General features: G+C 43.4%; 1 long non-coding RNA gene across 1 annotated transcript in view; it reads right to left on the reverse strand.

The window, feature by feature from the left end:
* Nucleotides 1–8,056: 8,056 nt before the first annotated feature.
* LOC105371114 (uncharacterized) overlaps nt 8,057–15,229 on the reverse strand; it is a 39,276-nt gene continuing 32,103 nt past the window's right edge. The window contains exon 3 of the long non-coding RNA NR_188657.1: nt 8,057–8,401. This is a non-coding gene — a long non-coding RNA (uncharacterized LOC105371114). The remainder of the gene's footprint in view (nt 8,402–15,229) is intronic.

Below are 15,229 nucleotides of genomic sequence, written 5' to 3' on the forward strand. Positions count from 1 at the left end.
GATTTCAGAAAGCACCAGCAGGAGATGGTGAAGAGAAGGAACCAATTCGGGGTGCATTAATGAGCAGGTCACTGCTTAGGGTATTTGGGACCCAATCAGCCAGGGAATTCTGGGAGATTTTTAGAACTTGTTTAAGGGGTGAGGGAGTTGGGGTATTTATCCACCAGCTCCCATCTGTCATTGCTTGAGGCTGCTTTCCAGGACAGCATCTGTTACAGTCAGAGGCAACATTTCCCCACTCTGAGCCTCCTAAAGTGTTCCCATTTGTAAAATCAGGTTAGACTAGAGGCTCTCTCACTTCCCTCTTCAAGGAGTATTCTAAGGCTTCCTCTCTGGGTTGAGGCAACGTAAAGTAGTGGCTGAGTGTTCAGACTCTGTGGTTGGATTGCCTGACATCTCCATCAGGGTCCCAGCAGAAAACAGAAGGCATACACTCTAATGTTTATTTTTAAAAGATTTAACAATGGAGACCTCCTATTGCTCGTCCTGCACAGGCAACCAGTTTGATAAATGAGCCACTTTACTACTTTGAGCCTCAGGATCCCCACCTGTAAAATGGGTATACGTGTGGAGATTAAGACTCAGGCGTTTTTATTTTAGCTTTGTGAGACCCTAAGCAGTGAACCCAGCCAGGCTTGCCCACATTTCTCTGACCTACAGAATGGTGAGAGAATAAATGTGTGTGGTTTTGTGGAAATTGTTTAGTTTATAGGTAATGATTTTGTGCTATCTTTGGTACCATTCTTAAGTTTATATTGTAGTGCATGTTTATCACAGTATCTCTAAGTACAATTTGGAAAAAAAAATGAGTAACAATTTTGGTGCCTGGTAATTTAGGGCCAAAGATATTGAAACAAATAAGGCCACCCAATATTCATCTCTAAAAGGTACTGTTTACATTCAACAGAAATAATTATACATGACAAATCATTCACATTTGAACTTAAAAGGATCAACTAAATGTCCAGGACATTTTGGCTACAGAATTTGTATTTTTTTTAATTTTAGTGAAAACATATAACATTAAGCATACCATCTTAACCATTTTCAAGTGTACATTTTAGTGGTGTTAAGTGCATTCTATTGTTATGCAATACAGATCTTCAAAACTGTTTGATCTTGCAAAGGTGAAACCCTATACCCATTAAACAACTCCCTATTCCCCCCTCCCCCAAGCCCCTGATAACCCCACTTTCTGTTTCTACGAATTTGACTATTTTAGATAACTCACATAAATGGAATCATACGGCGTTTGTCTTTTTGTGACTCACTTATTTCAGGGTGATGTCTTAAGCTGCTAAGTTTGTAGTGATTTGTTTCATAGCTGCTTTAGAAAGCATCTTCCACCCTGGCCCTATTTTAGCTAGTCCTCAATTTGGTCCAGTGTCTGAGCCCCTCGTCTGGAGTCAAGTCCTGCCTCCTACCTCATTGGCATATAAAATGCCTAGCATAGTTCAAGCAAAAATACACAGTAAATAAACGAAGGTCCCTGGTTTTTTTCGTTCTTAATTTTTTTGTTTGCTTGTTTGTTTGCTTGTTTGTCTGAGACAAGGTCTTGCTCTGTTGCCCAGGCTGGAGTGCTATGGCACATTCTCTGCTCACTGCACTCTGACTCCTGGGTTCAAGCGATTCTCCTGGCTCAGCCTCCCAAGTAGCTGGGACTACAGGCGTGTGCCATCACACCCGGCTAATTTTTGTAGAGACAGGGTTTTGCCATGTTGGCCAGGTTGGTCTCGAACTCCTGGCCTCAGGAGATCCGCCCACCTCAGCCTCCCACGGTGCTGAGATTACAGGCGTGAGCCACCGCACCTGGGCTATTTAGTTTTTAATTTTGAAATAATTTTAGGCTATAGAAGAGTTGCAAAATTAGTACAGAGAATTTCTGTATCCTCTTCACCCAGCTTCCCCTAAAGTCACTATCTTACTTAACCACAGTATGATTATCAAAACTAAGACATTAATATTAGTACAATGCTATTAACAAAGTTATAGACTTTATTTGGATTTTACCAGTTTTTCCATTAATGTATTTTTTCCTGTTCCAGAATCCCATCCAGGGTCACAGATTATATATAGTCGTCATATCTTCTTAAATCTCTATCAGTCTGTGACTGTTTCTCAGTTTTTCCTTGTTTTTTATGGCTGTGACAGTTTTGAGAAGTGCTGGTTGAGTTAATCATGCCTTTTTACTTTCTGTACTGCTGACGCTTTGATATCCGGGGCCTGGCTGACCCTACCCCTCCCAGGGCTAGCCAATTCCTAGGTACAGTAAATAGCGAGCCTGTGAGCATGCCTTCATACACAAACTAACCAATCCAGAGCCCCAACCATCTGCATATTCAGACTCTTACACTCTTGGCCATTGTCCCTCTCCCCTAATGACCCCAGAGCCAGCTGCTGACTTAATCACATGAACCCTTAAAATCTGGGCACCCCACTGCCCCTCCTCAGAGTCCTCTGGCTTCCCTAACATCATAGTAAGCAGCTGAGCTGGCCCTGCTGCCCAAAACCTCAGCTCACCTAGAAGGGGAGCTAGGAGTAAACAGAGGGCTCTTGCCTGCCCTGCCTACCAGCCCCCCTGGCTCTCTCAGCCTGCTTTGCATTCACGACAACATCAATCTTGTTCAAACCCTGGAGCCCATAAGCCCCGCTGGGCTGGCTGCCTCTGAGTCACCGCACACCGGCAGACGGTGCTAAACTAATTTCCCAGCATCTTTGGGAAGGATTTGGTTTCTGTCTCCCCAGCTAAGAGCCATGCAGACGGTGGCAGCAGGCTGGCAGGACCTAGGGGCTCCCTGCCTGGTCTGGGAGAGCCCAGACTGAGATGCGATGCGATAAGATATTGATTAGCAAAGTGGCTGGGGGTTGGAGAAGGTCCAGGTTGCAGCCTGAACTGGATTAAGGGATGGAACAGCAGGTGCCAAACCTCAAGGATGGTGCTAAAACATCCCTGGAAATGTAACCAGATAGAGAAAAGTGTCATTATTTTTTACAAAGACTTTTTTTTTACAAAGATTAACAGGGCTCTTACCATGTATATGAATGATGTAATCTTCATTAACAATTCTACAAGGTAGGTACTATTTGTTATTGCCAAAGTACTGAGGCACAAAGTGCTAGTAACTTGCTCAAGGTCACCACCTGGTAGGTGATGGGGCCAGGTTTTTAACCCTGACCGCCAGACTCAATAGGATACCTCAACATTAGCCTGTCCAGGTGCCCACACATCTTAGCCGACTCTGCTGAGCTGTCAGAATATGCCTAGAAAGAACACACATATATCCCGTCTTGGTTCAAGGTGATAGAATCTTTCAGATTTGTCAACCTTACAAACCTCATCGGTAAAGTGGGAATACTGATAATACCCACAAATAAGTTTTAAGATATATAAAGGTTTAAGACACTAAGTATTAATAATGCTATTTAGAATCATTATAACAGAAAGGCCGCCAGTCCACTTCAATTTGACCATAACTCTAGCAGATGGACATTAAGATTCTACCAAATGGGCCAGGCGTGGTGGCTCACGCCTGTAATCCCAGCACTTTGGGAGGCCGAGGCGGATGGATCACAAGGTCAGGAGATGGAGACCATCCTGGCTAACACGGTGAAACTCCGTCTCAACTTAAAATACAAAAAATTAGCCAGGTGTGGTGGCACGCATATGTAGTCCCAGCTACTCAGGAGGCTGAGGCAGGAGAATTGCTTGAACCTGGGAGGTGGAGGTTGCAGTGAGCCGAATTCGTGCCACTGCACTCCAGCCTAGGCAACAGAGCGAGACTCCATCTCGAAAAAAAAAAAGAAAGAAAGAAAAGAAAAGAAAAAAGATTCTACCAAATGGACTTCTTTTCACCAAATCCTCTAACAAAGCAAATAGCAATAGAGCGGACATCGATTTCCTTTTTCCTTTTCCCTCATTGTCTAAAAGCTGTGGTGGATGGAATTGACCTAAATCTCAAATCCAAGGGTGGGACTTGATGGGTCCAAGCTTATCAGGGTATTTCCATCAGACTTGCCCTTGACTGGTTCAAGTAACCCAGGCCTAGCCTAAGCGAATCAGCTCAGTGATCCACGATTAGGAGAATTGGTTTAAGACTGGTCCAATCAACGGAGTTAGGATTTGTATTCATCAATTAAGGGCAGTGACTCGCCCTCCTCAGATATGAATAAAGAAGCTTGTAACCTTGTTTGTTGTTGATAGCTACCTTAAAGCCCTGGAGAAAGCCAGTTTGTGGATGAATCCAACTTACGGAGAAGGCAGTGCCAGAAGAACTGCAGTGAAACAGAGCTGGAATCTTGATCAAACCACACCAGAAGTGTCTCTGAAGCTGGCTTTTATTGTTTGACCTGGTTTGAGTTGGTTTCCTGTTACTTGCAACCAAAAGAATCACAATTGATAGACTAAACCATAGATAGCTTAAAAAATTATTGTGCAAAATTATATTAGTTCTTTGAGAAATTGGGAGAAAGGCAGGGGAGACAGAGTTTAGACAGAAAGTTGAGGTTTTTTGTTTTTGTGAGACAGGGTCTCACTCCAGTTGCTCAGGCTGGAGTGCAATGGTGCTATCACAGCTCACTGCAGCCTCAACTTCCTGGGCTCAAGCAATCCTCCCACCTCAGCCTCCCAAGTAGCTGGGACTACAGGCACGCACCACCACACCTGGCTAATTTTTTGTATTTTTAGTAGAGACAGGTTTTCACCATGTTGCCCAGGCTGGTCTTGAACTCCTGAACTCAAGCAATCTGCCTGCCTCAGCCACCCAAACTGTTGGGATTATAGGCATGAGCCACTGAGCCCAGCCAACAGAAAGTCTTTTACTCACCCACTAGGATGGCTATAATTTTTTTAAAGGACAAGAACAAGTATTGACAAGGGTGTGGAAATTGGAGCCCCCATATGCTGCTGGTAGGAATGCAAAATTATGCAGGCACTGTGGGACTGTCACCGTGTGGCAGTTCCTCAATAAGTTAAGCACAGAATTACCATATATGCCAAAAAAATTGAAAACATGGATTTAAACAAAAACTTATCCACAAATGTTCATAGCCAGAAGGTGAAAACAACCCAAATATCCATAAACTGATGAATGGATAATCAAAATGAGAGATACCTATGCCTTGCAATATGCGTTAATATCATTATGCAATAATATTCCTTCTTGGCCGGGCGCGGTGGCTCACGCCTGTAATGCCAGCACTTTGGGAGGTCAAGGCGAGCAGATCACTTGAAGTCAGCAGTTCAAGACCAGCCTGACCAACGTGGTGAAGCCCCATCTCTACTAAAAATACAAAAATTAGCTGGGTGTGGTGGCACACGCCTGTAGTCCCAGCTACTTGGGAGGCTGAGGCAGGAGAATGGCTTGAACCCAGGAGGCAGGGGTTGCTGTGAGCCGAGATCGCACCACTGCACTCCAGCCTGGGCGACAGAGCAAGGCTCCGTCTCAGAAATAATAATAATAATAATAAGATTCCTTCTTATTAAAAAGGAATGAAGTACTGATACATGCTACAACATGGATGAACCTTGAAAACATTACGCTGACTGAAAGAAGGCAGACTCAAAAGGCTACATATTGTGTGATTCCATTTATAAAAAATATCTAGAGTAAGAAAATCCATAGAGATAGAAAGCAGATTTGTGATTCCCAGATATTGGAGGCAGGAGGGAAATGGCAGGAACTGCTTAGTGGGTACAGGATTTCCATATGGGGTGAGGAAAATAATCTGGAACAAGATAGAGGTGATGTTTGCACAACATTGTGAGTGGACTTAGTACCACTTAATTGTACACTCTCAAATGGTTAAAATTGTGAATATTTAAGGTCCTTCTTCTTTTTATTAAGGCAAAATCCGCAAAACATAAAATTAACCATTGAAAAATGTGGCCGGGCTCAAGCCTGTAATTCCAACACTTTGGGAGGCTGAGGCAGGTGGATCACTTGAAGCCAGGAGTTCAAGACCAGCCTGACCATCACGGCAAAACCCTGTCTCTACTAAAAATACAAAAATTAGCTAAGTGTGGTGGCACACACCTGTAATCCCAGCTATCTGGGTGGCTGAGGCATAAGAATCTCTTGAACCCAGGAGGCAGAGGTTCAGTGACCTGGGATCACGCCACTGCACTCCAGCCTGGGCCACAGAGCAAGACTCTGTCTCAAAAATAAATAAATAAATAAAAATAAAATGTAGCATTTAGTGGCCTTTTGTATAGAGTATATGTTCAGCATAGATATACCACTTAGTGGTCACTTTAGTGTAATACTTTAGTATAAAATGTTAAATTTTATGTTCTGTACATTTTACCACAAGTAAAAAAAATTTACTCATTCACTTGTTCATCCTAGAGGTCTGGACTATTTTGGACAGATGCCGAGTGATCCAGGAGTTTACTATTATTATTTTATTCAATAAAATATCACATAGTGATATTCACTAGATCGGAACTGTTTCCTCTGTTATGAGAGCATTTTCTACAGCCTGCAGGATTGTGAATGTGCAACAGTAGAACCGTAAGAAGACTCAGCCAGTGAGAGCTCAGCTCTGTTCAGATCCAGGGCCAGTCGTGAAGGGCAAGACCATTTACAGCCTCCATCCCAGCACCACGGAAGACCTGTGTTGGCAGCCGCGGGAGCAGCCCTTTAGAAACCCCTTGGATCCATTTTTTAAATGATTTCTCTGTGGTTCACGACAAATAATAATTTATAGAGTTAACCATAGCCTGGGCACAGTGGCTCATGCTGTAATCCCAGCACTTTGGGAGGCCAAGGCAGGAGGATTCCTTGAGCCCAGGAGTTTGAGACCAGCCTGGGCAACCAGCCTGGGCAAAAATCTCTCTCTTTTTTTTTTTTTTTTTTTGAGACGGAGTCTTGTTCTGTTGCCAGGCTGGAGTGCAGTGGTGCGATCTCAGCTCACTGCAACCTCCACCTCCTGGGTTCAAGTGACCCTCCCACCTCAGTTTCCCAAGCAGCTGGGACTATAGGCACGCGCCACCATGCCCAGCCAATTTTTGTATTTTTAGTAGAGACAGGGTTTCACCATGTTGGCCAGGATGGTCTCGATGTCTTGACCTTGTGATCAGCCCGCCTCGGCCTCCTAAAGTGCTGGGATTACAGGTGTGAACCAGCACGCCAGGCCAAAAGTCCCTCTTTTATAGAGACCTTTTCTCTATTAAAAATGGAAAAAAAAAATTAGCCAGGCATGGTGGCGTGCACCTATAGTCCCAGCTACTCAAGAGGCTGAGGTGGAGGATTGCTTGAGCCCAGGAGGTCAAGCCTACAGTGAGCTATGATTCCACAACTGCACTCCAGCCTGGGTGACAGAGACTCTGTCTCACAAAAAAAAAAAAAAAAAAAAAAAAAAAAAAATATATATATATATATATATATAATAAAAAATTTAATAGTCAGCAATAATGTATTGTACACTTAACATTTTGTGAAGAGGCCAGATCTTATGTTAAGTGTTCTTGCCATAATTAAATTAAATTAAATTAAAATTTAAAAAAAAAATTTTAAATAATAAAGTTCGACACCCTTCCTCCCAAATGTCAGGCTGCAAAAGACACGACAATCACCAACATTTAAAAACTCAATATCCATGAAAGATTGATGTGAAGGCTTTGGAAGAACGTGACTTTTCCCCAGGTGCCTTCCTCTCTCCAGGTTAAGAGCTGCTGTGTGGCTTTTGGAACTGAGGACACCAAAGCCTCAGGTGTCTGAAAGGTGGCTACTGCAGTTAAAAAGTCACGCACCCTCTGTTCATGTTACATATTTATATTTTGGCAAAGCTTCCAAGTGACTGCTCAGAGGGGCACTGGCAATCCGTCATGCCTAAGGCATTCACGTGATAGCAAGTGGCAATTATGGGTGCCCACCAACACCACCCAACATTCCCAAACCCTCGCTGGAGCACATATGGCCTGCAAGTGCTTCGACACTAATGTTGAGTTTCAGTGTAAAGCTGGAATCTGAGGTCCACACAAAAATCTTTTAACATTTGTTTAAATTAAAAAAAAAAAGAAAGAAAGAAAAGCTCATAAATAGCAAAGAGCCATGTCTATGATTGCCTGAGATTTTGTTTGGTTTTTATTTTCAGAGCCAATTGCAGATTTTATTCCTTCCACTTGGAGAAGGCCAAATCCCAGCTGAGTCCTTTTGATCTTTATCTTGCTTCTGGATCACATACTCTTGGGATAATTGGCTTCAGTAAGCTCAGTAAATTCCAGCCTTCCTCTTGGAAGCTGCAGAAATATGTGGCAGGTTCTGTAAGGGATGCAGGCAGTTCTCCACGGGACATGGATTTTAGGCCTCACCAGGCCACCCCACTTTGAACCCCAGTTCGCAGCATCACTGGGAATAGCAGGGGTCTCCCAGGAGCAAAGAAACTATGATTCAAGTAGAACCTAAGAGATGTGCAGATAGAAGTAATTCAAGATGTTAGTTTTTGTTTGTTTGTTTGTTTTTTAGCGAGGTCTTGCTCTGTTCCCCAGGCTGGAGTGCAGTGGCACAATTATAGCTCACTGTAACCTCAAACTCCTGGCCTCAAGCGATCCTCTCACCTCAGCCTCCTGAGTAGCTGGGACTACAAGCACACACAGCCATGCCTGGCTATTTTTTTTTTCTTTTTTCTTTTTTTAGAGACAAGGTCTCACTATGTTTTCTAGGCTGGTCGTGAACTCCTGGTCTCAAGCAGTCCTCCTGCTTTAGCCTCCCAAAGTGTTAGGATTACAGGCATGAGCCACTGCACCTGGCCTAAGATGTTAACTATTTTAACTGTAACCCTGATAACACCAACCTAGATATAACTAAGTCTTCTAAGATCAATCTTTCCTTCAGTGATGGTGTCTGATGGAGTGCTTTTAGCTGGAAGCATTGAAGCTTGCAGAAAACCCAATTCAACTAACTTAAGCAATGATAAATGCATAATCTAATACCTCAAGATGAAATCATGAATAAGGCAAGAATGCATATTCTCACCACTTCTATTCAACATTGTACTGGTAGTTCTAGCCCTTACAATAAGGCAAGAAAAAATAAATAAAAAGCATAAAGATCAGAAAGGAAGAAGAAAAGCTGTCTCTATTTGCAGGTGACCTAATTCTTTGTTGTTGTTGTTTGTTTTTTTGTTTTTTGTTTGTTTTTTTTTTTGAGATGAAGTCTCGCTCTTGTCCCACAGGCTGGAGTGCAATGGCGTGACCTCGACTCACTGCAACCTCCACCTCCCAGGTTCAAGCGATTCTCCTGCCTCAGCCTCCTGAGTAGCTGGGATTACAGGCACCTCCCACCATGCCTGGCTAATTTTTGTATTTTTAGTAGAGACGGGGCTTCACCATGTTAGCTAGGCTGGTCTCGAACTCCTGACCTCAGGTGATGTGCCTGCCTCGGCCTCCCAAAGTGCTGGGATTACAGGCGTGAGCCACCGCACCCAGTCAACCTGATTCTTACATAGAAAAGGTTTAGGAATCTACAAAACAACCACTAGAACTTATAAATGAATTTAACAAGGTTGCAGAATACAGGGTCCGTATACAAAATAATTACATAGCAAAATGCCTGAGGGTGGAAGAGTTGGGGAGGGTCACAATGGGTCAATGATATCATCAAAGGCTTAAGTTCTTTTGAGCTTTTCATATTGCCAAACATAGCGTTGTTCCTAATGGTTGCAAGATGACTGCCACAGCTATGAACATCACATCTTCACAAAGTAACTTCCAAAGCCAGAGCAAGAAAGGAACACATGTTTCCTCCTTGGGTTCATTCATAAAATGAGAAAAATGTTCCCAGAGCCCCACCTCTCAGGCTTTCCTGCATTGGCCAGAATGGTGTCACATGCCTGTTTCTGAACCAATCACTGGCAGAAAAAAGAGGACTTACCATGATTGGTTTGAAATATTCAAGATCCACTCTCCCATCTCATGGACCTGGGGAGAGGGCTAGGGCTCCTCAGAGCTCATGGCCACTGAATGTCTGAAGGAAACCAGAATTTGGCTGATGAGTAAAAAAGAGAAAATGACTACCAGGTAAGCAATGGTATCTGCCATGCTATCCCACACACAATTTCCAAGAATCAAGCCACTGCAGGACTCCAAGCTGATTATGAATGAGATCTTAGCTTCTGTCTGCACTCATGTGTACTGCCTTGGGGTGGCCTCCAGCCCCTCTGGGGCTTTCAACTCAACCAGCAAAAACCCTTCAGCTATTTATTAATATATTATTGAATGGTTAAAAAAGAAACAACTTCTATTAATAAATACAGTTCTATTTTTTTCAAGGCAATTTCCCATCCTTTGTATTATTTTCTCCACATGAACAACCCCAAGAAGTCCCAAGAGATTAAATGACGTCCCTAAGGTCACCCAGAAACATAGCAGCCACTATGTATGCACCAGAATCTGTGCTAGGCACTGTATGTAAATAGTCTTATCTAATTTTCACTACAACCTAACGCGGTAGACTTTACTGCTATTCTCATGTTATAAAGGAGGACTGAGGCACACAGAGGTTAAGTAACTTGTCTATGGTTACACAGCTAGTGAGTGGCAGAGCCAGGATAGACCTCAGGGCTGTCTGAGCCCCAATCCCATACTGTTTAACCTCTAAGTTATACATATTTTCCCTTTTTTAACCATCGGTATTCCAGATGCCATTACTCAGACTGACTTATTAAGAGATTAACCTATACAATATTCCCTTGTGTTGTCACAAATAAGAACAGCCTCAGAAAGTGGAAATAATGGAATGGGAAGGACAGGGGCTGTCCTTTATGATTTTTTTTTAATAGAGTTGGGGTTCTCACTATGCTGCCCAGGCTGGTTTCAAACTCCTGGCCTTCAGTCATCCTTTCACCTGGCCTCCCAAAGCACTGGGATTACAGGTGTGAGCCACCACACCTGGTCCTCTCGTCCTTCATAACTGCCCACCTACCCTGACTCACCTATTAGCTAGTTATATACAAAACCACCCCACACTCCCCCAAAAGACCAGAGGCCAGGCCTCCATTGTACTCACTTCTTTTTTTTTTTTTTTTTTTGAGACGGGGTTTTGCTCTTGTTGCCCAGGCTGAAGTGCAGTGGCAGGATCTCAGCTCACTGCAACCTCTGCATCCCGGTTTCAAGCGATTGTCCTGCATCAGCCTCCGGAGTAGCTGGGATTACAGGCACACACCACCACGCCCAGCTAATTTTTTGTATTTTTTAGTAGAGACAGGGTTTCACCATGTTGGCCAGGATGGTCTCGATCTCTTGACCTCGTGATCCACCCGCCTCAGCCTCCCAAAGTGCTGGGATTACAGGCATGAGCCACCTCGCCCGGCTTGTACTCACTTTTTAAAAAACATTTCCTATCCTCCATTTCATTAAGAAGGATAATATGAAGATATTACTCCATGAATACTGTTTTCTATCTTCCCAGAGACTTGAATTTAATTTTGCTAGGAGATGAGGAAGAACTCTCAATATTCCTCTTTTATCCTCTGATTTTATTATAAATTGTGAGAATTATAGCAACATAATTAAATCATTTAGGGAAGGTTTTCAGGAAATTGACATTAAAAGAGAACTGAAGAAGAAAAAATCCTGTTCATTTTGTAAATCTATTTAGTGAATATTTGGATAGAATAGCACTCTATACCCATGCATACCTGTTAACTGGCAGTCTTTTCAACGCTATTTGGAGTCTAAATGACATTAACATGAAAAGTAGAAATGTATACCACACAAATATTCTAAGTACTCTAATCCAAAAAAAGAGAGTCCAGCAAAATGTATAAAGCAGGTAAGGCAAATTAATAGCTTTCAGGCAGAATCTGGTCCGTAGACACAGTTGTTTGCTCCATCTGGTGGGACTTTTTTTTTTTTTTTTTCAGACGGAGTCTCGCTCTGTCGCCCAGGCTGGAGTGCAGTGGCGGGATCTTGGTTCACTGCAAGCTCCGCCTCCCGGGTTCACGCCATTCTCCTGCCTCAGCCTTCCGAGAAGCTGGGACTACAGCCACCCGCCACAGCGCCCGGCTAATTTTTTGTATTTTTAGCAGAGACGGGGTTTCACCATGTTAGCCGGGATGGTCTCGATTTCCTGACCTCGTGATCCGCCCGCCTCGGCCTCCCAAAGTGCTGGGATTACAGGCGTGAGCCATCGCGCCCGGCCTCTGGTGGGATTTTTTAAAAAATCAGTTGCACAGCCAGGGTGCAGTGGCTCACGCCTGTAATCCTAGCACTTTGGGAGGCCTAGGCGAGCAGATCACTTGAGGTCAGGAGCTTGAGACCAGCCTGGCCAACATGGTGAAACCTTGTCTCTACTAAAAATACAAAAAGTAGCCAGGCATGGCTACAGGTGACACATGCCTGTAGTCCCAGCTACTCAGGAGGCTGAGGCAGGAGAATCGCTTGAACCTGGGAGGTGGAGGTTACAATGAGCTGAGATCGCGCCTCTGCACTCCAGCCTGGGCAACAGAGCGAGACTCTGCCTCAAAAAAAAAAAAAAAAAAAAATTGCACAGCCTGGGCAACATAGGAAGACCCTGTCTAAAAAAATAATTTTTAAAAATTAGCCAGGCATGGTGGCATGCGCATGTAGTCCCAGCTACTTGGGAGGCCGAGGCAGGAGGATGGTTTGAACCCAGGAGTTTGAGGAGGCAGAGAACTATGAACGTGCCACTGCACCCCAGCCTGGGCAACAGAATGCGACCCCATCTCTAAAAAATAAAAGTAAAAATTTAAAAAAAATCTTTTGTGGTTGGCTATCTCAATGGCTATTCCCTATCCTCTTCTCCCTTGTGCACGACTATAGGGTCTGAAAAAAATAAAATATAGATAAAAAAATAAAATATTACAGATACTTGTAATAATATGTAATTTCTGGATTTTGACCATTGCACTGTGGTTATATATAAGAATGAACTTGTACATGGCAAATAAACTCTGACACGTGCAGAAGTACAGAGCATTCTGTTTACAACTTATTTTTAAATAAACAGAAAAATAATATGAAAAATAGAACTATAAGGCAAATGTAGCAAAATGTTAATTGGAGAATGTGATGACAGATATATAGAAGTTTTTAATGCTATTCTTGCAATGTTGTTGTAATTTGAACTTATATTTCAAAATAAAGTTACCAAAAATAATTAAAATGAGAAAAGTTTTTTAAAGAAAAAGAGAATAAAGGCAGATACTCACTGTCCTATCTTACCTTGAAGCTAAATGTGGTCATGCGATCTAGGTTTGGCTCATGAGCTATAAGACAAGGTATGCTGGGCTTTTATTTACCCTGATAAAATGGAAAGTCCTGTGAGGGGTGCTTAGGGGTGCCACCCCATCCTCCTCTTCACAAGTGGAATACAGATGTGATGCTGGAGCTGTGGTAGCCATCTGATGACCATGAGGCAACAAGACTAAGAGCCGAAAAAGCCAATATGTGAAGGATGAGTGTGCAGAGAGGAAGTGCCTGGTCCTTGATGACATTGTGGAAATACTGGACTACCTCTGTGACTGCCCATCTCTACTTTCTTGTGTCCTTGTGTTTTAAGCTGTTCTCTTTTATTTGAGACAGAGTCTCACTCTATCGCCCAGGCTGGAGTGCAGTGACACAATCTCAGCTCACTGCAACCTCGTGCTCCTGGATTCAATCGATTCTCATGCCTCAGCCTCCCGAGTAGCTGGGATGACAGGCAGGTGCCAACATGCTGGCTAATTTTTGTATTTGTTAGTAGAGATGAGGTTTTGCCAGTTTGGCCAGGCTGGTCTGGAACTCCTGACCTCAAGTGATCCACCCACCTTGGCCTCCTAAAGTGCTGGGATTACAGGCATCAGCCACAGTGCCTGGCCTTAAACAGTTCTTACTATTTTGCAGCTGAGTGCATTCCTAATATGGTCACTGTGCTTGACTTTTTTTTTTAACCTCCCAGCATCTAAACTTCATGTGTTGAGAGAATCCTGAAACAGGTTCTTCTCCCCATTTCAGAAGTCAACAGGGACAGATACTCCCTCTCCTTGTCCCCTGGAAGCCAGGGTACTGGGACACACAACCCAGGTGCTGCCAACAGAAGCACACACCCAGTATTTTGAACACAGGGGGAAGTTGGGAGAAAGCAAAGGCAGTGATATCAGTGGTCTAGAAGGTCATTGTTCAGTGTCCTGGGCAATATGGCCAATGTTAGCTATTTACCACCTGCTATGTCCCCAGATGCTGGGCCCCTCCCGGTTCTTGCCTATTTGTTTTTTTGTGTGTTGTTTTGTTTTGTTGTTGTTGTTGAGAAAGAGTCTCACTCTGTCACCCAGGCTGGAGTACAGTGGCATGATCATAGCTCACTGCAGCCTCAACTTCCCATGCTCAAGTTATCCTTCCACCTCAGCCTCCCAAGGAGCTGGGACTTAAAAGTGTGTGCCACCACATCCAGCTTTTTTTTTTTAGTTAGAGATGAGTTTTCACTATGTTGCCCAGGCTGGTCTCGAGCTCCTGGCTTCAAGCAATCCTCCCTCCTTGGCCTCCCAAAGTGCTGGGATTACAGATATAAGCCATCATAACCTGCCTCTTGCCTACTTCTTCAGTCCAGCTTTCCACCTTGTGGTCAATTTTTTGAGCTACCTGGTAAATTATTTTTCTGCTTAAGTCAGAAAGGATTTTGTTAGCAGTTGTTAACCCTGACTGATATAACTGCTCATATCTAAAAATCAAAACATTCACATTGAAATCCATATTTTTTACTTGTCTTAAAAAATCAGAAGACTGGCCAGACGTGATGGCTCATGCCTGTAATTCCAGCACTTTGGTAGGCCAAGCTGGGCAGATCATGAGGTTAAGAGTTTGAGACCAGATTGGCCAACATGGTGAAACCCTGTCTCTACTAAAAATATAAAAATTAGCTGGGTGTGGTGGCACACGCCTGTAGTCCCAGCTACTTGGGAGGCTGAGGCAGGAGAATTGCTTGAACCTGGGAGGTGGAGGTTGCAGTGAGCCAAGACAGTGTCATTGCACTCCAGCCTGGGCAACAGAGTGAGACTCTATCTCAAAAACAAAACAAAACAAAAAACAAAAAACAGAAGACTATGCAAGATTGGACCTTAATTTCCTTGCAGAAACAGTAGGCTGACACTGAGTAATAGCTACCACCTGCCTTTCAATGGTATATTTTGGTGACCAACATGTTGTTTGGGCTTATGTCTTTCAGTCCTAGTTATCTATGAACTGTTTTTACTCACAATATTTCTGACGCCAAATGTGTGAGTTTTTTCCACA

Source organism: Homo sapiens, chromosome 16 (assembly GCF_000001405.40).
Source record: "Homo sapiens chromosome 16, GRCh38.p14 Primary Assembly".
NCBI lineage: Eukaryota > Metazoa > Chordata > Mammalia > Primates > Hominidae > Homo > Homo sapiens.